The following is a 24,530-nucleotide window of genomic DNA, read 5'->3' as shown; positions in this document are numbered from 1 at the left end:
TTGCAGGTGTCTATGAGTTTGCCTGTTATACAGTTTGTACTTCCGTGAGTTTGATACGTGCCCGTTTGTGTGTATGTTTATGGCAAAATAATGAGGCAAGTCCTTCTGTATAAAATCTAATCCTATTGCTTTATCACCTCCTTGCCTATTTATGAAAAGAGCCAGTGCAGACCAGAGATGTATGCACATGTATATGTGTCTATACAAGGAGAAAGTATGACTGAGGAACAGGTTAAGATTGGACCCCAGGGCTCTCAGAGCAGTTGCGTCAGGCTCCTTGGGCACCCTGAACCTCTGCCCTCTAAGCCTAGGATTGGTCACTATGAGCCAGGCAGTGGGCAACTCAGATCCACGCTATCCCTACTCCAATCCCCCCAGCAGGCAGCAGCTCCCAGAGGATTTCTCATGGGTTAGAAGTAAGTGTTATGCAAAAACCAGTTCCATGGTGGGTCAGATACATTTGGAAACACTAGATAAAACAGAGATAAAGATGACTTTTCCCTAGTAGTTTTTCAATGCCTTTATTACATCACTACATTGTCAGTCTCTAACAGGGAATGTAGAATGAAGCATTTGCCAAAACCTCTAATCTTGAAACCCCTTTCTTACTGAGCAAATAGTGGTATTTGCATGTCAGGTAACTCATTTTGGAGAAATCTTGCTGCAGAAATATCCAAGCCTGGGAGGCGGTCATCCACACTTCCATCTCCATCTGTCTCCCTGGGGAAGATAAGGTGCGAGATATTCAAGTCTATGGCGAGACTCAGAAAAGGATCCACGTGAGAGTTAGGAGAGAAGAAGGGCAATAAAAATGATTGGCAAACAAGAGTAGCTTGTGCCATAGTGAGGAGAGACAGAGAGACAGGGAGAGGCAGAGAGACAGAGAGAGACAGAGAAGCAGAGACAGAGAGATAGAGACTGAGAGTGACCTGAGGTCAGAGCAAGGGGAGGTTGACCCAGCCTGCCCTGCTAACATTACTGTTAGCATAGTGCATATTCTTTGTGCAGTCCTTATTGCAAAAAGCCTCCTGGGCATGCATGAAGATTTCCTTCTTAGCTAGGCCATGACAAGTCAGTCAAGGTTTCCCTTTCTCAAGCATCCGCGTTGTCTCACATATTACCTGTGTCTTTTTACCTCCCGTATTTTGATGCTTTGCTATCCAGGGTGTGGCTGGCCTGCAGACCTTCCCAGGGCCAGGCCTTGTCTGTGAGTGCACCTTTCACATGCAAACCAACCAGTCCAGAGCCCAGACCCCAATCACCTCTTTTGTCAGGACGTCACCCTCTGGGCCACTATCCACTGTGCTGTTCACCCCAGGGCCTGGGATCAGACAACTAGGGACAGCCTGTGTACTCCGGAACCCACTGAAATTATTCACACTAGCCAGCCCTAAGCCCGTTTACCCTGCCTCACCTGTTCCTTTCCACAGAAACCACAATAAAGACTCTTGTCCACATTTTCCCTTTGCTCTCTCTGCCTCGTGACCAACCCAGTGCTTCCCCATGTGGCCTTGTGTGACGTGGCGTGCCTCCTGTCTTTAGGGACCCGTGAGCACCACAAACTTCCTCCTTCGTGAAAGTCATTTTCCTGTCTGTCTTCCCATACCCAATTAAAACAAATCTCTAGTACTCTTAAGACACTTGGCATCCGACAGCCACAAGACCAGAAGGCAGAACTCAGCAGAGATGAGCACAATGACGTCAGAAAGTTGACATACGCAGGAGGGATTAGACAGAATAGTTCAGGAAGAGTTTTAGCACAAGCACGGACCAAACCAAACAGACACTCAGCCAGTAGGAAAGGACATGGCAGCCCCGGCTACACCCACGGATAATACCAGCAGCTTTCTGTAATCTAAACACACAGGCTTTAGAATCGGACTGGTTAAGCTCAAATCCTAGGCCCACTAGGCACTATCTGTGTGACCTCGACCTAGTCATTTAACTTTTCTTTGCTTCACATTTTTCATGAATGGAGATGATGATGTACTGTTGTCGTGAGGATTAAGTGAGAATGAGGGTAAAGTACTTAGTATAGAAACTAGTACATAGTATGCATTCAGTAATGTCATATTTTTATTACTACTACTACTGAAACATAGAACTAAATAGCAACAGTATGATGCATTAACTCATTTGTATTGAGAGTCTACTGTGTGTGCCACCTGGGCCGGCGCTGTGACAAGCATGAGTGTTTGTCACGGTTCAGAGCAGAGAGACCAGCAGGGACTGGATTAGGCAAGTCCAGTCACACATTCATTGAGCATCTATCAGGTGTCATGACCTGTGCTAGGCACTGAGTTCATCAGTGGGGTAATTACGAAGATAACTAAGACAGGATCACTTGAGTTACTCATAGCCAAGCAGGAAAAACAGATGCAGAAACTAGTATCTGTAATCCAACATGATGCGTGCTGCATGCAGGCACAAACAAAGGGCCAGGTACCCAGGAGGGGAAAAACCTCCTAGAGAAAGGTGGGGAGGGGTCAGGAAAGACATCTGGGAAGAGCTCAGGTAAGAGTTGACCAGGAGGAAAAGGGAGCATGTGTCAAGAAGCAAAGGCTTCAAGGAGACAAGAATAACCTTGGCCTTATAGCCAGTGAGGACACCAGAACACAGAGTGAGGGGGAGCAGGGCCAAGGAAGGGAGAGGCTGCACAGAGATTAGACTCTGCGATTCAGGAGAAGAGCTGAGAACTGAGGGCTCCACTGAGGTATCCCGCCCAGGACAGTGACAAAGGACCCAAGTCTTGGTTGCAGAGGAGCTGTCTGGGAGCCTAGGCATATGGAGTGGCTCTGGGGAGGTGGAGGGATGTGGGTAACAACAGCTGCCACAGAGCGAGGACGAATCGTGTGCTCCGTGCTGTGCTGGGCATGTATACTTATACCTTCCTTCAGCCTCTCTCTCTGCCCAGGGGGACGTTTAATTAGCATCAGCTTGGAAATGAAGATGCTGAGGCTCAGAGCGGCTTCATACAGCCTATCCACACACTGTGGAAGTGGCCAAGTGGAGACTGAATCCAGGCCTGTCCAGCCCCAAGGCCCTCACCCTTCCTTATCTGTGATACTGCCTCCAGAGAGGCAGGGAGGCCTGCGCTGGGGCTGGCACTAAAGCCCATAGGGGTGGAGAGTGGGAGAGGGAGAGAGAGCGAGAGAGAGAGAATGAGAGCGAGAGAGAGAGAGAGAGAGCTGAGAGAGAGAGAGAAAATGAGAAATAGTGCAATGGACCAGAGGTCAGGATGAGACAGGTTGTGAAGGTCACACAAACCAGTGTTCTGGGCAGCCTTAATACACAGCTCACCCCAGAAGGGAGATGCCCCATAGACACTGGGCATTGCACCACCTGACTGAGGTTGTTTAAGTCTAAGAGTACCCTGGGATGCAAAGCTATGTTTCTGTACTTGGGCAGACTCTTGAGGCTTCACCTGGGAAAGAGTGGGTTCTTGGATTGCAGGTGACTATGAACAATGGACACAGGCCTTCCAGAACCTGAGTCACACCTGACACGTGGATGGCTATCAGAGGCCATTGGGCTCACTTGCAGGGACTTCACCCTGTGCACCAAGGCAGACAGATGGCCACCAGGCAGCTTCCTCTGCCTAGAATAACAATCAAAGAAAGACACACCTACCATGTGCCAAGGGCTGTGCCAGGTGCTTCCCAGAGTCAATTCATTTAGTTCTCCAAATGCTGTGGGTATTACATCCCATTTTTTTTTTAATTGAAGAAACTGAGTTTCAGAAAGGTTGAGTAATTTTCCCAAAGCCACACAGCTTACCGTTTGTCCAGCCAACCGGCTCCTCTCCCTCCCCCAGCCCGTCTCCTGCAGGCGGAATCAGTCATTTCTATTGCCCTTGCTTATATCACTTTGCTTGCCTGTGCCCCATTAGGCTGGGAGCTCCCTAAAAGCAGCCCCAGATTCAGGCTTCTTGTTCTTCAGAGCCCAGCACACGGTGGTCACTCAGTGACCCTTCGTCCGATGGTGAATGTCTAAGGAAACAGTGAGTGGCTGGCGTGACTGCACACAGTCAACCGATACCCAAGACCATCTTCATGCTTCCTCGGCGACATGGCTTCACCAGAGAGGCTGCATCTAACAGGTGTCGAAACCATACCGAGAAGGAAAGGTGCTCCCATGACTCACACTAGCACCGTAAAAGGTGAGCGTTCTGGTGTCTGTTTCCTCCCTGTTCTGCTCTTTCTTCCGCACGCCCCCCCCAGGGACTCCATACCCATACCCGCTGACATCAGGGCGCCGGTCAAGTCTAAGCTGTGGGTCGACCCTGACATCAACTTATGACATATCTCACTGTTTTCAACTACATGTAAGGACTTATCCTCAGCAAGAAAGTGTTCCCTAGAAAGGTCCTTATGTGGATTTATTTTAACAAGTACAAACATTTTGCATGTAAATGGGGGTTCAATAGTTCCTGAGGACCCGTTACTGATTTATAGCAGGAGTGTCCCATCTTTTGGTTTCCCTGGGCTACATTGGAAGAAGAATTGTCTTGGGCCATACATAAAATGCACTAACAATAGCTGATGAGCTAAACAAACAAAATAAAATTGCATTTTTTTTAATTGAAGAAACTGAGTTTCTTTGCAAAAAATCTCATAATATTTTAAGAACGTTTACAAAGTTGTGTTGGGCCACATTCAAAGCTATCCCTGGCTGCATACGGCCAGCGGACCATTGGTTGGCCAAGCTTGATTCATGGCCTCCATATATTTTCCCCAAAGGGGACGCTGATTTGAAGGAGGCACAAGTTCTACAGGCAGGGTGTGAGCTCAGGCAGTGGGCCCAAGGCCAACCACTGGCTCAGGCTGACACACCAGAGAGACAGCTGATAGGCATCATTTAGACTCCTAAGTTCCCTGACCCACCTTCTGCTCACAAAATGTGCAAAGCCCTGACCTCGTCCAAAATACCAGAGATTCCACATGAGAAGGACCCTAATCAACAAAGCTTATTCTGTTTAAATAGAAGTGCCCAGCAGCGGGAGTCCTGATAAAAACACTGTGTATTTCATAACGCGGAAGAAAGGAATTCACTCCGTGTTCAGAGGCATGGTGTCGGGCAATCTAGAAGACCAGCTTTTAACAACCTGGGCCTGATCCACCAGCTCACACGTGAGTGGGTTCTTCTGCAGAAATAGCACCAGGAACATGAAGAAACAGCTGTTTCTGAAACTGTTGGAGCCACGTGGTGTTGTCCCTGCTACTGTGTGCTGTTCCTACGTTTCCCGGAAGAGGCGTAGGACGTGGCAGCCAGTCACAGAAGCCTTGACTCTAAAGAGGATTTTTAAATACAGAACTCGGACACAGCCCCTTGACTTCAAGTACATCCAGTGCCTTCTCCCAAAGCATCTGGTCTCCTGAGACAGCTGCAACCTGCAGCAAAGCTGTCAGGAATGAGGGCCACGTGCGGCTCATCTGGGCCCGGCCAGGGGAGAACAGACAGCCTGAGTCAGGGCTTGCCATGACGTCAAGTGAGGATGGCCACCGGAGCCGCCCCGCACACCCCTGACTGAGCTATTCTGGGTCACAGACACCAACATCCCAGCAGGATCAGGACCTGAGAGAGGGGCTCTAGACAGAAATGGGCCCATCGCTTGACAGAAACGACAACACAGCGCTGGAGACAGTGAAACTCTCTGACCACCACCGGCTCCACCAGGACTGTAGGCAAAACTGGGCACTTCTGGGTCAGGAAGCCACCCACAGCCGGGGGTGCGTGACTAGTCTGGCTTGTGACTGAGGGCTGCCCCTCGGGAGAACCTGCATTTCTGAGCACACTCGCTTCCATGTAATGTGCGGTAGGGCTTGTTCCCTGGCCTGGTGAGATGGGGAGGAGGGGGTTGTAAATGGGGAAGGACACAAGGCCCGGGGCATTTGGTACCCAGACTCTGCCAGCACTCACACACCAGCAAGGCCAACAGGATGACTCAGTGTGATTCAGGTTTTCAGTGGCTGCAAAACCAGCCCACCAAGCACTTCTCCACTCACCCTGCCAATGAATGGGCGTCCTTTCCCTGTCCCCAGGCCAGGTCACTACCAGTGGCAGGCAAGGGAAGGAGTCAGCAGGTCACCACGGTTCAGCAAGCACTGGGCACCCAAGTGCTAGGGAGGAAGGGATGAATTCCCAAGACACGACGCACAGATTCGGGCAGACTTCCAGCTTCTAGGCCAAACCAGGGAGAAGCAGGAGCCGAGCACAGCTCCTGGTGCAGCCCCACAGTGGCCCACGGGGGCTGCTTCCTGTTCCTCCTGCACTGGCCACAGGCCACCAGGAGCTGCTTGCTTGCTGTTCCAGCCTGGAGCAAAGACAGAGCTCAGGGCTGCCAGGAGCACAAGAGCTGGGCGAGGCCAGGAAGCATCTGGGTAGTGCGGTTGTATCCAGAAGCAGCTGGGGGCTGATCAGGGGGAGCACGCAGCCCTCCGATTGCAGGGCTGCCTATTTGAGTGGCAGCTCCTCTTAGAAACAATGCAGAACAAGCCCAGGGCCCCACAGAAAAGGGCACTGCCCTTCCCAGAACTTGAGCTCCGGGACTACGCATCTGTTCTCACCAGATACAGCTTGGGGCTGAGGAACAAAGAGCCTTCCCTGGGCCACAGGTGGGGGACCCAGAGGCTGGGCAGGAGCCCCTGTTCTGAAGGGTCCCAGGCCCACACCACAGATGCTGCTGACGTGCAGAACCACTCTAAAGAAGAACAGAGAGACGCAGGAGCACAGAGGAGGTGCGGCCAGGGGAGGCACACCTGGGCGTAGCCAGGGAGGGGCGCAGGACACTTCGAGGCTGACAGGAGACCCACGTGGTGGGGAAAGGAGCCCCCCAAAGTGTCAGAGCATGAAGCAGCAGGAAGGAGCTCCCTCGGGCCACTGCTGGGATCAGTGGTGCCATGGAGCAAGCGAGGAGTTGTTTGGCCTGAAAGCCGGAAGCGTGCCCAAATCTTTGCATCACCATGTAGGCAGTCACCTCGCTCCTCAGCACTCGGGGCAGGACAGAAGCTTGCTGTCTGCTCACCAGACATCCTGTGCTGCCCTACAGACACCTTGCTCGCCAGCCATCCCCACTCACTTCTGACCGGGACCCAATTCTCTGGCCAAACCCAGGCTCTAGCACCGTCTTGGTGCTGCTTGAGAAACATCTAGTTTAAGTCAAAATCCAATGTCTTTTTAATATATAGACTATATGTACCTATGGACTAGAGGTGAATATATATACATCATATCAAATTCAAGTGACCCAGTATTTCAGGAGAACCCACTATGTCCCCAGCCTGCATGGGAAGCTGGGGATTCTGGCATGAACTGCACCTTATCCTTCCCTCGAGCAGCTCATTCGAGAGTCAGCAACCCCATCAGAAAACCAAACACCACATGTTCTCACTCATAAGTGGGAATTGAACAATGAGAACACATGGACACAGGGAGGGGAACACCACACACTGGGGCTTGTTTGGGGGCGGGGGTAAGGGGAGGGAACTTGGAGGACGGGTCATTAGGTGCAGCAAACCCCCATGGCACACGTATACCTATGTAACAAACCTGCATGTTCTCCGCATGGATCCTGGAACTTAAAGTAAAATTAAAAAAAAAAAAAAAAAAAAGGAGAGTCAGCAACTGTCAGAGCCATAGGATGGTGAAGGATGCTGCCGACCTCACAGCAGTGGGAAAGGGCCTGGCCACTGGGTAGAGAGGAGAAACATGTTTTATCAGTTATACTTCAAAACTCAGACCACATTTATAGTGGTCAAAAAAATCTATGGGAGGATACTGATTTGGACTGAGCTCCTGCACTAGGTCCCAACAGACCAACCCAAAATGGAGTCACTCATGCTAAGGTTCCACTCACCAAACCAAAACCTAAGCTGTTTCCTTGTGAGATCTGAACTGCCAATAAATCAAGACAGAGATGATAGCCAAATCCTTAAACAGGCCAGCTTCCCTCTGGCCACCCGCAAAAACAAAAATAAAACAAAAAAACAGAATTTCACAGCAATCAGTCAAAAGGGGCCCAGCTACCCTAAGCTGGCGTAATAGGGAGATCCCCTCTGCTTTAACCCATGTGAGGAAAGAACCTGAAGTTAACCAATCTGCTCCTCCCCTCCCCCTCATACCCTGACTGCATCTCTAGATGCCTTCTCTTGCCTCCATTCCAGCCATGCTGAGCTCCTCATATTCCTCAAATACTCCACCTTAGGGCCTCTGCACTGGCTTTTCCTCCCCCTGCAACTCCTTTCCTCCAAAATCAAATGGCCAGCTCCCTCATCCCCAAGTCTCATTCAGATCTCATCTACTCAATGAAGCTGCCGACCATGGTTGGCCCTTCCCTGTCCGAATCCCTGGTCCTTGTACCTTGCTTCATTTTTTTCCATTGCACTTTTAGCCTTGGGCATGTTCTATCATTTACATATTTACTATATTAATTGTTTATGAACTGCCCACCATGTGAACTCCATGAAGGCGGTGTTTACTTTTGAGTTGTTTTGTTCGATATATTATATTTGGCAGATTTGTTCACCAAAGTACTCCAAGTTCCCAACACAGTCATCAGCACATCATAGGCTCTCAATAAATATTCTGCAGCGACTGAATTGAATGAACTGTAGCCTCATGACCACCTGGGGCCTTGGTTTTCAGGTATTTATTTCATGGGCAGGAGCACCAAAGAAGCCATGTGACAGCCCAGATGATGGATGATCATCGAGATTCATGGATGCTGAGAAAAATGGGTGGAGAAAATGGGTTCATAGAGAACCTCGGCTGTAATACTGCTTGTATATTTCTTAACGTAGTGGTGAGGATTCAGGAATTTTTTATATTATTTCTTATAACTTTTGTATGTGTGAGAGATTTTATATTTTAACAAAATTAACAGATGTTTAGTAAAAGGCAAAAGATGCATGCAATCTGAAGAGAACCCAGAGTATAAAATTAACAGATATTTTAAAACTTAGCCATGCCTATCATGTGCTCAGCCCTGTGCTAGGTGCTGGGCTGGGAAGCAGATGGGGGTACACCAAGGACCATGGACTCATCTTCAGAGAACTTGGTAGGTGCATTATGATATAGCGCTGCAAGCTTCAGATACATACACAAGGACAGAAGGTAGAAGGAAACCAGCCCAGGATTTGCAGGCAAACACGTGACACAGACACTCAATGCTGCAGAAGTTCAGAGGGCACGGAAGTGGCAGTGGCCAGAGGGGTCAGAGGAGCTTTACCAAGATGCTGGAGCAGAGCTGAGCTCTGAAGAGTCAAGGAAGAAGAAGGACATCATGGAGACTAGAAGCCATGGTGGCGTGCTCTTTGAATCCTTGCATGAGCCTCTCAGATAGGCTCGAGTAACAATAACAACCTAAACCTCACCTTAGTTTCTTCACACATTCTTGGAGTGGATTATTCTGTACAATCTATGAAGTCTTTTCTGTTTCAAGGGTTCTATCATTCTGTTCCAAAATGACTAATTCATGCAATGCTAGGCATTGGGCATGCAGAAATTTTAAAAATATATGGCTCTTGGTCGGGCATGGTGGCTCACGCATGTAATCCCAGCACTTTGGGAGGCCAAGGCAGGTGGATCACCTGAGGTCAGGAGTTCAAGACCAGCCTGGCCAAGATGGTGAAACCCCACCTCTACTAAAATACAAAAATTAGCCAGATGTGGTGGCTCAGGCCTGTAATCCCAGCTATTCGGGAGGCTGAGGCAGGAGAATCACTTGAACCCAGGAGGCGGAAGTTCCAGTGAGCCGGGATCTTGCTATTGCACTCCAGCCTGGGCAACTGAGCGAGACTCCATCTCAAAAAAAAAAAAAAAAAAAAAAAAAAAAAATATATATATATATATATATATATATATATATATACACACTCACACACACACATATATGGCTCTTGCCCCCAAGAATTCACAATCTAATGTGGGAGTCAGACATTAGTGCCCCTACGAACTTTGAGAGGGAGGTACAGCAAATATCATTGCCACCCCCATTGAAGATGAGGAAATTGAGGCTCAGAGAGGTGCCAAGGGCAAAATGTGATCCCTGTCTCAGGGAGTGCCCATGGTAGGGATAGTTTCAGATATAAACAAGAAGCTCTGTGCCAGGTGACCACTCACACCACGAGGAAACTACGAACCACCGAAGGGGGTGCTTGTTGAGAATGCAGATTCTGATTCAGCAGGTCCAAGGTGGGGCCTGGGAGTCAGCATTTCTCATTAGCTCCTCCGAATAGTGCAGGGCTCTAGATTTAGACCAGCTCAGACTGCTGACCAGATCTTTCAGCAGAGTGCCCGGGTCACGTTAGAAAATTCTGGGATCTCCAGATCAGTGTTTCCCAAGCCTGGCTGCACATCAGAGTCACATGGGCAATTTGCTAAACATGCCCAAGGCTCAATGCCAGAAATTTCAGCTGGACCTAGGATTCCATCATCTCAAAAAAAAAAAAAAAAATGTTGTTCAGGTGATTCTGACAGACCTTTGGACCACGACTGTACCTGGCCTTGCTGGGACCTTGAGGACGAGTGCCCCGCCTTTTCTATTTCTCCGACTCTCTAGCTCCACCTATCGGACCCATCTTGTCTGTCACAGTGACCCTGAATCTTCCTTCCAATCAAAACTGGGCCCAAGTCTAGAGAAAGCCTCTAGGGTAGGATTTGGCCAGTCCCTACCCAAAAATAATATTTCTCTCCAACTTCAGCTGGCCTCAATGCCTTAAATTTCTCAGGCTGAAAATATATTCCTAAGATCTCAGGGGCAGAGCCAGAATCCTATTTATCTCTGTATCATGGGGCTTAACAAAGGGAAGAGGATAGGCCTGATATCTGGAGGTAGAATTTAAATGAAAACTTTGAGGTAAGCATTGTCCTTTTTTCTGACTATTTTCATCAAAAACATCTGGAGAAGGGCAATTTAAATGATTTTTGTCCTATGGTTTTCTCCTGTGACACAAACTGGGAACACCCAGAGCACCATGTACCTGGGAGGAAAGCAGAGGAGACAGCAGGTGGGGGAGGAAAGAAGGAGGTGGACGCATGTGTAGGGCACGTATCGTGCTCCTTATTGCTAAGCACTATTTGCTAAGCACTTTAGAAACTTATGCCACAAGATCAGATTCAACTGAAGAATTCACTAGCGTTACATATTCCCAGGCCCCACTCAAATCTACTGAGTCAACATCAACAGGGGTAGAACCCGGAACATTGCAAAGCTCCCAGGAGTTTCTAGTATTTGGGAACCACTGCACTGCCTTGTTTAATCTGCACAGCAACCCATTTTATAGATGACGCCACCCAAGTGCAGAGTGACTTACTGAAGCCACACAGCCAGTATGTGCCAAGTATGTGCCAAGTATGTGCCAAGTATGTGCCAAGGCAAGAAGGAAAGGGGACCAAACTTTCTAGTGGCATTTTCACAGAAAGCAAAAATATTCAAAATCCCTGGGGCAGTAAGGACAGATGCCTTTTTGCTTTACATATGCCAGCATTTCCTTAGGATGCACAGCAAGGTATGTTCAGTGTGTGGACTTCATCCTGGGTTCCCCCAAGTGAGTCATTCTTCAGATCGGAAAACAAGGGTTAGGGTTAGGGTAACAGCCTGTAAGAAAGTGACAGCCCCCAGAACTCACAGTAACAACTCTGCTAAGGAAAAGGCTTTCCATTTTCATAGAATAGTTAGATTGGCAAATCAAGGGAATCACACACACACTCGCATTGTAGGTCAGGGTTTCAGAGAAGCATTTGATAAGATCTTTCATGATGCTCTAAAGGATAGTTGGATAACCTGGGTTGGGTAATAGTGTATCAAGCACAGCATTTAGACATTCCTATTTCTAAGAAATATGGAAATCAACTTGGATGGAGGCTTCTCATGCCAGGCCACTGGCTCTATTCTTTCTTTCCTTCTTAGATATTTGATCAATATTGAAGTGGGAGAGAAAGCATGCTTGTGGCTCATGGTCAAGATGGTATAGTGAACTTGTATTTTGAATCACCCCCTCTGATCCAAGCCCACAGTATATCAATGGATAAGCAAATATGACATAGCCGGGCTCCAACAGCAGTCAGTGTGCAAGAACCAAAGACAGATTAGAAGTGTGCATGGTGAATGGAGCTGAAGCCACAGGCCCGGCACAGTCTCTGGCCTGGAAAGAGGTAATGGCTGGAGGTCAGCACCTGAGGAGGAAAGCATAGATGGGACACGGGAGCCAGGCTTCACACTGAAGGTAATCCTGGGAAGGGATTTCCTATGCTGGTGAAAAGAGGCTTAAACATGTCTGCAGCCCTACTGCTTAGGGCCAAGGCAATAGAGGGAAGTGACCCAACCTTTCAAGCAGGAAGGAAACCAAAGGCTGCTTCATTCAGAGCCCAGATTTCCCCATATCACTGTAAGACGGGAGCTTGGAAGTGCTGTTATAAGGCCTGGCTCTGGACTGTGCCCCCGGACCTGGGGAGGCAACTACAAACCACAGGACTGAGGGTGGACCCTCAAATCACCCAGCCTTGTTGCTAGAGAACAAAGGACTAGGAGTTGGTGTGAGGGGTATTAAAGGAGAGAGAAAAAAAAAAAAAAACCACAACAAGATTTTTAAATCCACTCAAAATGAGCCCTCAAGCAAAATGTCTAATGCTAAGGACAGCACACAAAATAAATATTTGGAATATAGACTTACATCATGATGTATCCTATTTTCATTTAACAGTCATTATCAGGTTATTGAACAATCTGATAATGACTGTTAAATGAGAATAATTGAGATACATATAGACACAGATTAAGGAATAACCTCCATTAAAAAGAGAAATTATGAAACAGAAACATATCAAAAATTAAACAATGAAATAAAGGAAAAGAATCTATTAGAAATACTGGAAATGAAAAACATAGTCATTGAAATTAAAACATAAATATCAATATAGTAGATAAAACCTAACAGGAAACATAAAAGAGAGAATTAATGAAGTAAAATATAGTAAGGAAGCATCCAGCAGGCACAGCAAGTCAAAGAGATTAAGAAAGAAGTAAAACAGCAGCTAGGAGGCATGGAGGATACAGTGAGGTTCAAATTTGTGTCTAATCGTGCCAGAAAGGAGAATTAAGGAGATCACAAAGAAGAAGTTGTTGAAAAGATGTTTGAGAATCTTCCAAAATTGATGAACGAGTGATGAGTAAAAAAGCAGACTCTGAACACTAAGAAGAGTAAATAAAAATAAATCTACACCTACACATTACAGTGAAACACAGAGCACACATGGCAAAGGATAATATTTAAATGTCTCATGGAAGACTAATGCTTTTTTAAATATTGAGGGAAAGCAACTGTTGACCTATAATTTTATAATGAGCTAAACCACCATTCAAGAAAAGAAAGTGCAAAAAAAAATACATTTTCAGATAAACAAAAACTAAAGGAATTTGTCTTCCATAGACAGTCCCTAGAAGAACCATGAAATCATGAACTGAGACAAAAGGTTTGGGATGCAAAAAGTGTAGATAAAGATACAAGAGGTTGGACATATTATAATTAACATTTTTCTTTTTTTTACTGAAAACAATAACTGAAATTTTTAGGTTTTCTTTAAAACAAAAACTAAAACTCTGGACAAGACTAATAAAATAAGGGTGTACCCAATGGTTTTCAAAGTGAGCTGAGGCCTAGGCCCTGTTTGGCAGGAGTATAGAAGTAATAAATAAATTCAAACTGTGTTAGACAATATTTGTTATACAGGTATGTTTTCTTTTCTTTTCTTTTTGAGACAGAGTCTCACCCTGTCACCCAGACTGGAGTGCAATGGCACGATCTTGGCTCACTGCAACCTCCACCTCCCGGGTTCAAGAGATTCTCCCTCCTCAGCCTCCCAAGTAGCTGGGAATACAGGCACCCGCCACAACACTCAGCTATTTTTTTGTATTTTTAGTAGAGATGGGGTTTCGCCATGTTGGCCAGGCTGATCTTGAACTCCTGACCTCAGACAATCTGCCTGCCTCGGCCCAAAGTGCTGGGATTACAGGCATGAGCCCCCATGCCCAGCCTATAGGTATGTTTTCAAAAGCTAAGGAGAACCACTAAAAGAATATAATTTTGTTCTGTGATTATGGAATTAACTGAGCAAAAACAGAAAAGAGGATAGAAAAATTATATTTTAAAATTATAAATTCAACAGAAGTCAAGAAAAGAAAGCAAGTCAGTCAGATTTTTAAAAGTCACAAAATCAGTATGTTGGATAACAAAATCAAAATCTGAAAGGACCTCGTCAGGTCTAAAACCAACAAGATGATATTGAAGACAAATATACTAAGCCTCAAAAGTCCATTGTAGAACTTCCAGATGGCAAAGCCTTAGCCATCAGCAATTCATGCGAAAAAATCAGAATACTTTGAAACGACCAGGGCAGTTCATTAATCTCTCAAAGCTCCTCCATGTGTAAACTGAGGCTAAGAATCACCTGTGTGTTTCTTACAAGGATCGGTAGGACAAAATATGGAAAATGTCTCATAGGGCCCTGGCATGGAGAGAGAGCACTCGGTAAACAAAAACAATAATCAACCTGGACATTGTTCATTTTCGAAGCACTTCGAATTATCCATAAATTTGGAATAAGTCGTGTTTGCAAAATACCATTATACAAGTCGGCTGCTCAAATTCAGTGTTCAGCATAGAAGACTTGCTGTTCCTTTTCTTTGTATCTGGTGACCTCTCACCCAGTGGGCATTTCTAATTGGGTAGAAACTAGAACTTGATCCCGTCTTGCTTCACCATTAACTGCGAAGTGCCTATCAAATGGCTATTAATAACTCAATTTCTGCCTGGGTCAAATCAGGTGAAGAAACCGACTAGCCAAGTCCCTTTCTCCTTTATTTTGAACTGTTTTGAAACTCAAATCACCTTATCCTTAGATAAAGAGAATTCACTCAAGAATTTCAACAAAACTCTCTTATTATCGGCTGAAAATGTTGTATGTATTAACTCATTTTCCATTTGTCAACACTCCCCTGTGGCGAGGGGCCCTGATTCGCGCCGGTGCGTCCTGTCCCGGGTCTCAGCGTGACAGCGCCCTCTAGAGGGTATTTCTGGGCCAGGACACCGGGACCCGAGCGACCGCAAGATGTTTCTGCGAAGGGCTGCACTTTTACGGGGTAAATGAGGAACAGGCGGGGCCTGAAAAATACAGCAGGGCGTGGAAACTGGATCCTCCCAGCCACTGCCATGCAGAGAGTCTCAGTCCTGAAGTCTGAAGACTGTTACTCCGTGCTGCTCTGAAAAGAATTCTAGCCTGCAACTCCAGAGTGGTAGCTCTGGGAGGTTACTTCCTCTAGGAGTTTCAAAGGATGTTGCAAGGAGCCCTGGGGTGACTGTGGGGAGAGGGAGGGTGGAGCTGGCAAGGAGGTGGCAGGGTTGATGTAGGAAAAAGAAAGGAAGCTTGAGAAGGGAGGGCTCCAAGCTCTCCGTCCTTTTATCTCCAGCAGTTGCTCCATTCTTATTCCATTTATAGACAGGGACCTGCAGATATTTTCAGCTATAACAAGAATTCCGCGTCGGAGAGTGAAGCATTGAGAACTATGGAGAGGCTCAACTCCCTGGGCCACCACTGACACTCAGAGTCCCTCCAGGCAGAATTAACAAAGAGGACCTCTGGGTGGACAAATTTCAACAAGGTGCCCTTTCCCCTTCAATGTCCCAGCCAGCTTCAGTCCCAGAGCCCGGAGGGCGTGATGAGTCAAGCACAGGTTGGGTTTCAGCCCCCGGTGTCCTCTCGGCCAGCACACCATGCAGACCATAAACTGCAGAGACTTAGCTGCGGCCCTGCCATGGCCTCATTTAATAAAAGTGCATGTCACAAGCCACCCACCTGATAAGGCTGGTCTCCAATGCTGCCTCCCCCGTGAGTGTTGGTGAGCTTGGCTACTTTTGAGGGCACCCCTGTGCTTGCAGCATCCACACAGGGTCTCACGCAGTCTATGGACAGCCCTATGGGGAAGGTGTCATTGCTACAAATGTATTGCAGGCCTGGTCAAAACCACTTGGTCAGGGATAGAGCCAGATTCTCTGAACTGTTCAGATTCTCTGTATTTCTCTCCTACTAAATGCAATTCTCCCCTCTACAGAGTCTCATTCTCTTCATCCTAGTAATAACAAACTCTTCCCAAGTTCAGAGACAAAGCCCCCTGTCCCTGCCTTGCTGTCCATGCTATAGGAGATATCACATCCGCCTGCCCCTCCCTGAGCCCAGCCGCAGAGCAACTTACAAGAGTCTCACAGTCGTATTTATTTCAAACTTTCAGTATTATTTTCTTATATACTTTATCAAGGCCTAGAAGGATCTCAAGAAGCATGATGAAAAACAAAACTGGGTAATAGAATTGTTTAAAAACAGATCAGGATCAGGACCAGGCCCAGTGGCTCACGCACTTTGGGATGATCACTTGAAGACGGTAGTTCAAGACCAGCCTGGACAACAGAGCAAGATCCCATTTCTACAAAAAAATTAAAACTTAGCTGGGCATGATGGTGTGTACCTGTTGTCCCAGCTACTTAAGAGGCTGAGGTGGGAGGACCACTTGAGCCCAGGAATTCGAGGCTGCAGTGAGCTGTGATCACGCTGCACTCCAGCCTCAGCAACGCACCAAGACCTCATCTCAAAAAAAAAAAAAAAAAAAAAAAAAGGATCAAAAGCTATGACATGGAGCAGGATTCAGAATGCTGGGAGGGAGTGGAGAGAATGATTCCTGAAATCTAGACCACAGATAATCCTGCCTTTGAGCACCAAACAAAACTCTGCCCCCAGCAGCTGGGGCAGAAGAGGAAAGGTGAGTGCCTGGGCTCTACTTACCCACAAAAGGACCCATATCGATTAATCACTAATGGACACACATTCCAACTGCAAACACTGTGAGGGGCGTATTCATGGGTCCTCACATAGGAGTGATGAGAGCAGAAGGTGAGCGTCAGACCCCCTCGGAACACAGCCACAGGCATCTCGTTGCTCGCTCGCATGAGAAGGAGAGTGCTCTTTCCCGCGGGTGTGTGCTCTGCCCGTGGTGCCCAGGCCATGGCTACCCACCCTGTTCCTGTCCCTTTAAACGAGGACAACCCATCCACAAAAGTCACCACACAACCTCTGTCCAGGGCCAATACACACAGGCCTCAGGTGTGCCAGACCCTCCAGCACCGTCCTTCCCCACCAGCCTCCATCTTTCCCGGAGTCCGTCCAACCCAGCGTTCTAGCCCTCCTCTCCTGTTTCACCCTGGGGGCTAACTACAGAGCACCTCTTGATTGCTCTTGGGCCCACCCACTTTCTGGTTCCCCCTTCTCCAGGCACATCCCACCCACGCTGGGCAGGGCTTTCTCAAAGGGACAGCCCAGGGGCTGTGGGTGATCACATGATAAGTGCCAAAAGCGGGGTCGGGGATCCTCAGCACATTGATGAAGCCCAGAACAGGCCAAAGCTCACCAAAGACCTAGGCACGCTCACCTGGTCATTTCATTCCTGCATCTGTTTCTTCAGCAAGTTCCAGGCGCTTGCTGTGTGCCAGTGGCCCATCCCAACATAACCACAATGGAAAGTAGGGGCCAAATTCTAAAAGCGAGCTGCTGTGTGGTTGAGAATGTAGGTATCCCACCAGCTGGGGGGTTTCCAGGCGGCTGGAGAAGGCTGCACTTACACAAGGCCTGGAAGGGTCACTGGACATTGGTGGTGGCAATCTGTCTCCCAGGATGTCCAAGTGCTCTATCAATTGAATGCAACCCCAAAAGAAGAAATGGGGTTGGATAAGCAGAGGCACGGGGAGAATGTGAAGGGCTGAGAAAAGAGAAACAGAGGGAAATCTCTGGAACGAGAAACAAGACCAAGTGTATTCCAAATCTAAATGCAAAGGGAAGTTCAAAATGGTACCTGAGTTTACACACATTCCTCGATGGGAAATCAGGAAGTGACTGTTAGTCTTAGCTCTGCCATAGGCATGCCTAGAAAAGACACCTGCTACCCTCTGGGGGGACTCGGTAACCCGTCTCTAAAACAAAAGGATGCACCAGATCTGGAGTTTTTAAACTCTGTATTTCAGGGACTGAAGTTGTATCTCCAGCCTAGATTTCTCATCTGAATTCTGTTAAAAGGTAAACTGAGGCACAATAAAATTCTAAAGAGTTTATTCGAGTAAATGGTTCAAAACCCTTCTCTGCTACCACCTAGTTCAAACCACCATCCCCTCCCACTTGGATTATTGCAACAGCCTCCCAACAGGTCCATCATGTCTGCCCTGCCCCGAAAGCCCAGGAGGTGGGTCCCCTTAACATGACACCCCAAGGTGGGGTCGAGGCCAATGCCTCCATGCTGGCCTGTGCTCCGCCAGCCTCCACACCGCTCTCACACCATCTCCTCCCACTTTTCCCGTCCTCTCAGCTCTGGCCACACTGGCCTCTTGGCATTCCTCAAACCTGCCAAGATGCTTCAGCTTCAGGACCCTTGACACCTCCTGAGGCCTCCGCTCACTCCTCAGCTCCTTCAAGTCTTTGCTCACATGTCACCTTCTCTGTGACCTCCCCAACCTCCCCATTGAAAATTACGTCATCCTCCCGTCTCGGGCTCCCCGTTGCCTTTCCCCATTTTCTTTTTCTCCACAACCCCTCTCCCCATCTGACATGCATGTTACTTAGACACTTGCTTATTCTTTTCTCCCCCACCTGGACTGTAAGCTCCAGGAGGGCAGGATGTTTGTTTTATTCACGGCTCATTTCCAGTGCTTAGAAGAGTGCCGGCCACAGTGTCGCCTAGTGAATATTTATTACTAGAATAAGCAAATGAGTGAAAAGACAATAATCTTTTACAATTTTCATTTCAGGGAGCATGCGTGGTAACTGACATAAGGTTGTCAACTTTTAATCTTAAAAAATGAAAAACAATGGAAGGAAGGGAGGGAGGGAGGGAGGGATGGAAGGAAAGTATTTTTCTTTTCATAAAAGATACTTTAACCTCCCCAAAATAGAAAATGCCTTCTCCCAGGATAAATAATAGTCTTTCCCAGGGAATTTGAATGGGCCAAGTCACATGAACATATCTACCCCACAACATTGTCTTATTTTCTTTGTTCACCACGGGTCAGTGAAAACTTTGGCACCAATACTCCATGCCAACCACCCTCCAGCTCTGTGTTACTCTGGTTCTTCCTTCAAAAACAAGAGAGTTGGGCACAGTGGCTCATGCCTGTAATTCCAGAACTATGAGAGGCCAAAGCAGGAGGATCATTTGAGGCTAGGAGTTCAAGATCAGTTTGGGCAACATAGAGAAACCTTGTTTTTACAAAAACTTTAAAAAAAAATTAGCTGGTTGCAGTGGCACACACCTGTAGTCCCAGCTACCTGGGAGGATGAGGTGGGAGGATTGGTTGAGCCCAGGAGACAAGAGAGTCCATCACCCTGGCTGGCCCTTGCTCTAGCAGACACACCTGCTTACTACGTCAGAAGCAGCCTTGGCACTGGGAAGGGTGGGGGCTCCAGCTCCAGAAGCCAGCCCAGACCCAGAGCTGCCATTCGGATCACAAGAGACAGCGTGATACCTGCCAGAGGTTCACAGACTGTACAGTTCACACTGAATTTTCACTAAATGGATACTTTGCCTGGCAGCTTCTTCTAATCCACCTTTCATGCAGCTGCTATGAGAAAAGTAAGAAGACTCTTCCGAGCTCACCTCACTCACCCCCATGCTGGGCTGGTAAAGCAGCGTCATCAGCCCCAGTTTAAAGATGAAGAGCCCAGGGCTGGGAGAGGCTCAAGGCAACTTGGGCAAGGTCACAGCTCAGTTTAGAAGCAGCAGAGCCAGGATTCCAAGCCAGGGCACCTGGATGACAAAGCCTGGCTTTCACCACACCTGTCCCTTCCTCAGGTGCAGCAGGATGTTCACATAAACACCAGCCGTCCTGGAGGAACAGAGCGGCAGTGCAGGGCAGGGCAGGGCAAATCTGCTTACCTCGACGACCACAGCATTGGGGGGAAGCCACGCCCCATCTTCTCTCCTCTGCATAGAGTCCAGGAGGAGGCAGGAGGCAGGGACAAAGAAGGGCGGACCCGTTACTTCCCAGAGTAAAAGCCATCTCAGACCTCCCTGTTTCTCTTCTTCCTTCTCAGTCCCTCATCCCCATCCCTCACGTTCAACTCCAGGCCATCTGCTCCCAAAGGGCGACTCATGGGCTGCCTCCCTTCAGCCGCTCCCATCTCCCATGTCTGGAGTCATCATTTCAAGTATACCCAGCCCAGCTCAGCCCATTCTCTCACGCTCTCTACCATACACTTGAGCATGTTTAAATATCAGAAGACAAAATGACACATGACGCATTTCATATGATCTGCATTATTTTATGTGGTTCTTAGCTCACTGGCTATTACCGAAATTCCAAATCAAGTGTTCTTCTCCAGCCCCTACAGAGCCTGCAGGGGTGCAGAACCGACACTGACAAGTTAAACGGCAATAATAGGGCGCACCACAGTTTGCAGAGTTATGTGGAGTCACATAATCCATTTGAGCTTCACAATCACAAGCGTCACAAACTGAGTCTCTCAGGGAAGGGACCTTGTTGAAGGCCTTGCTTTAGACACTTGCTCCCCACTCTGGCCCTGACCAGAGGGGTCGGGAAGATTACTGGGGCCCCCAAAGTAGCCGGTGAGAAAGGACCTTTGGGAACAGGTTTGGGTGAGGGAAGCCTACACACTAAGGTGCTTTGGCTTAATAGGTGTGTGCTAAATAGGGTGACTGTTCCAACCCAACACCTATGACAGCAAAAGAGGGTGCATAAATAATTACAGGACAATAGGCGTAAACCTGAGTGACCCGGACAAACAGGGACTTGCGTTCCCATGCGAAGGGTCTGCCCTGGATCGTCTGGGAGACTGTGCTAGGTGCTGTGGGGACACCGAGATGGTGACACCCTCGCTGCCCCGGGGAGTGTGACATTTACTGGAGCAGGAGATAGATAAATACATACTGGGACATGACCACAACCATCTCTGTCACTTAAATGCTATGTTCAGAGCCTTGTCCCCTGCACTCCAACTTTACAGAGGGAAACAAAATCTGTCTGCAGCAGAAAGATGACGATCGCGACGGGAGCTCCTATCCCCAACCACGAACTGAAATGGTATGGAGATGGAGGCATTTGAACTGGGCCTTGAAGGATGACTAGGGCTGTCACCGGTGCTGGGGAGAAGGGATTGAAGATCGGCGTCTGTGCCGGAGGCAGGTTGTGTTCCATCGGCAGCTTGCTACGAGTTCAATCGCAAACATGTAACAGCAGGAGTTTAAGCAGGACTGGCCTGGCTGCTCCCTTGTGACCACCGACTTTGCTCGTGCTCATCCTAATTTCCTGTCACTAAGAAAAGTCACATCAGACACTGTGGTTGGGTTTCCAGGTGGTTTCCTATGTGTAGTGGCAGAGTGTCACCTCCAGGGGGCGCTCAAGGCCTCCCCACGGCTCACCTGCAGGAGGAGTGGGGCAAGCCCAGGACGCTGAGAGGAGAGAGAGGCCCAAAGCCCCGCTCCCCACGGAGGCCTGCAGCTTTCTTCTCTGTTTCCATCTCACCCACAACGAACACCCCAGGCGCCAGTGCCTTCAGGCCGGCCAGAGGTAGCAGCCTCCCGAGAGCCCTCCCAGGACCAGGGGGCAGCCCACACAGGCATTTCAGGGGGTTCGCGGTATGGGAGAAGTGGACCCTTTCCCTGGGTTTGTCTCCACACCCGGCCACCGTCAGGGGCGTGCGCTCCAAAGGTCCCTGTAGAAAGGGGCCCCAGAGGAGAGGACGTCGCCCAGCCTCTGTTCAGGCCTCTGGTTGGTGAAGCCAAATGAACCCAGGTGGCAAACAAAAGCTCTGAGTAGATGGGGCCCCAAGTCCAACCCCCAAGCCTACATGGACTGGAGGTGACAAAATGGGTCCAGGGTCCTGAATGGTCACCTCCCTGGAGACCCAACTAACACGCCTGGCTCAGCACGTCCCAGGGGCAGCACGGGGACGTGGTAGAAGGAAAGAACAGAGCCGACGGGGGTGTACTAGCCTGTTCTCGCACTGCTATAAAGAAATACCCGAACCTGGGTAATTTATAAAGAAAAGAGGTTTAAATGGCTCACAGTTCCACAGGCTGTACAGGAAGCATAGCTGGGGAGACCTCGGGAAACTTACAATGACGGCAGAAGGCGAAGGGGAAGCCAGCACGTCCTATATGGCCGGAGCAGGAGGAAGAGGAAGACAATAGAAGGAGGTGCTACATACTTTTAACCAACCAGATCTCTCATGAGAACAGCAAAGGGAAAGTCGGCCACCATGATCCAATCACCTCCCACCAAACCTTTCCTCCAACACTGGGGATTATAATTCAACAGGAGCTTTGGGTGGGGGACACACATCCAAACCATATCAGGCGGAGAGGTGGGGCCAGCCTTTGAGGGGCCTTGAATGCCAAGCTAAGTGACTAAAGGAAGACTGAACTCAGAGTTCTTCATACAGAGACAAATGCAGGACCTGGCTCCATGCATTTTCCCCTACAGTGCTCTCTGAGTCCACTGGGCCAGTGTAGAGGGATTCAGTGTCTTGGCACCATTGTATTTGCAGTCCAGCCTGTCACCACAGGCCATCTGCTTTCAGGTGTAGTGCTGGTATTAATAATAGCTACCATTTATCAAGCACCTGTGAGTAGTATATAGTTAGGTATTATAAGCTTCATTTTATAGATGAGACAACTACATTTTCAGCAAATCAAAAGTTGTAACTGACAATGCTAGGGTGTGAGTCCAGGCCTCGTGGCCCCCGAACTTTGGCCTTCACTCTGGGTCTTACATATTCGGCCCGTGACTGCCTGCTATCTTTCATAGGCAGGGTGCCTGACCAAGACGAATGTCACCACACACACCCCAACTAAGAAAAAAATAAAGTCCCAACGCCCCAAGGAACAACCCCTGCAGACTTAGCTTTAGGGGAACACACTGTACTCATTCCCCAGCCTTTGCTCAAGCTGACCCCGCAGCTAGAAAGCTCCACCCCCGTCAGCTCTGTTTATTGAAATCCTATTCCTCCTCCAAGGCCAGCTTCTCAGAGAGGCCTCCTCCAGCCCTGCCAGGCTGAATCACTCTTGACCTGTGCCCTGTGAACTCTGTGGCTTGCCAGCTGCAGCCCCACCCATTCCCATTCCACCTTGACCTCCTGCAGAAGAGGGAGAGACCAGGCCTTTCACGCACCGCCCCCAGATCGCCCCGTTACCCCACCACAGAGCTCTGCACACACTCAGGGCCCAGAAATACTTGTGGCGCAGAGACCAAGCCCAGAGTCTCTGGGAATGGCCATGGCCAACAGCACAGGTGATGCTGCCAACTTAGCAGGTGCCTCCGAGGGCTCACGCTGCTGCCAGCTGCCATTTTCCAGCCCCAGGAATGAAAACAGCCCTATGGTGGCTGAGCCACTTTTACGCTTCCCAGAAGCCAGCCAGCCCTGCCTGGGCTTCTGGCCAGGGCAGTCACAGCTCCCACCTCTCCCACCCACATCTCCTGCATCCCCCCTCAGCATTCCTGGACTGCTGTCAGTCCATCGGGGGCCTGCCTGATCTAGGTCCCAGTTTCTCTTCTTTGCTGAAGCCCCAACTCTGGGCCCAGCCCTCCCTGCCATCCAAGGACTAGTCCCAGACTCAGTCCCCAGCAGCAACTCCCAGTGACGCTCCCAGTTTCACGGCTCTGCAGCCACCCTTCAGCAAGCAGGCCAGATTCCTCCAGGTGCAGCACCAGCCTGAGCCAAGGCCAAGGCCACCAGGCCCCTTCAGAAGCAGAGCCTTGCAGGAAGCCAGCTCTGCAGCTTGAGAGGAAGCAGGCCAGACTCCCCCGGCCCCCATCACCCTTCAGAGCCATGGAGGCCTGCCTCCCCCAAGGCAAAAGGCCATGGGCACCGCACAGAGACTGCCGGGGCAGGGGTTGGGGGAATCTAGACCACGGTGGATCAGCCAAGGGGCCTGCTGAGGGTTTTAGCCTGGGGCTTAGTATCCCGTCCATCTGTCAACAAGCGTTTATCAAACACACAGGAAGGTTGTGGGGTTGGAAGAGCGATGGAATACAAGGGGACACGTGGCGGGTTTGACATCCTCTCTGCAGCTTCATTACAAGGAGCCTTCGGTGAAGGAAGCACCACCTCTGTTTACAAAGTCCCCAGGCTTTTATGTTATTTAAACTTTCCTGTATATGCTACATATTCTACAATGAACATGCTTTTATAATCAGAAAAATAATTAATATCCAATAAAACATAAGCAGAAAACAGACATAATATTAAATCAGTATTAAATCCAAACTTCCACATCTGTAGGGAGGTGCAGGAGAGAACGAGGGTTGGACTGGGCCCCAGGAGGCCTGGGTTCCTCTCCCCATCTTCCACCACTCCCCTCCCAAGGTGCTGTGCAAAAGTCCCAACTTCATAGCCTCAGTTTTCTCAGCTGTCAAATGGGAATAGCGATGCTGTGCTCCCCACCTGCCAGGCTTGTGTGAGAGAGATGCCATGATAATAACACC

At 48.8% G+C, this 24,530-nt stretch overlaps 1 protein-coding gene and 1 long non-coding RNA gene across 5 annotated transcripts in view, besides 3 other annotated features; both read right to left on the bottom strand.

Moving 5' to 3' along the window:
• LPIN1 (lipin 1) overlaps positions 1–24,530 on the bottom strand; it is a 149,866-nt gene that overhangs the window by 123,753 nt on the left and 1,583 nt on the right. The gene's annotated exons all lie outside the window — the stretch shown is intronic.
• Positions 6,215–7,063: an enhancer, noted in NCBI's record as "H3K4me1 hESC enhancer chr2:11836720-11837568 (GRCh37/hg19 assembly coordinates)". NCBI's record gives its function as "activates a minimal SCP1, AML or CMV promoter by ChIP-STARR-seq in naive H9 embryonic stem cells {active_cell/tissue: H9 hESC(naive)}" and the evidence as "EXISTENCE:reporter gene assay evidence [ECO:0000049][PMID:30033119]".
• Positions 15,247–15,746: an enhancer, noted in NCBI's record as "H3K4me1 hESC enhancer chr2:11828037-11828536 (GRCh37/hg19 assembly coordinates)". NCBI's record gives its function as "activates a minimal SCP1, AML or CMV promoter by ChIP-STARR-seq in naive H9 embryonic stem cells {active_cell/tissue: H9 hESC(naive)}" and the evidence as "EXISTENCE:reporter gene assay evidence [ECO:0000049][PMID:30033119]".
• Positions 20,334–22,232, bottom strand: LOC100506405 (uncharacterized). 2 transcript variants are annotated; one of them, NR_187639.1, is made up of 2 exons: positions 22,165–22,232; positions 20,334–21,466 (listed from the first exon to the last, which is right to left on the bottom strand). It is a non-coding gene; the product is annotated as an uncharacterized LOC100506405 (long non-coding RNA). The 2 variants fall into 2 exon arrangements; NR_187638.1 differs by having other exon boundaries at positions 20,334–21,359.
• Positions 21,112–21,752: an enhancer, noted in NCBI's record as "H3K4me1 hESC enhancer chr2:11822031-11822671 (GRCh37/hg19 assembly coordinates)". NCBI's record gives its function as "activates a minimal SCP1, AML or CMV promoter by ChIP-STARR-seq in primed H9 embryonic stem cells {active_cell/tissue: H9 hESC(primed)}" and the evidence as "EXISTENCE:reporter gene assay evidence [ECO:0000049][PMID:30033119]".

Source organism: Homo sapiens, chromosome 2 (genome assembly GCF_000001405.40).
Source record: "Homo sapiens chromosome 2, GRCh38.p14 Primary Assembly".
Classification (NCBI taxonomy): Eukaryota; Metazoa; Chordata; class Mammalia; order Primates; family Hominidae; genus Homo; species Homo sapiens.
This window is presented reverse-complemented; position numbering and strand designations above follow the sequence as displayed.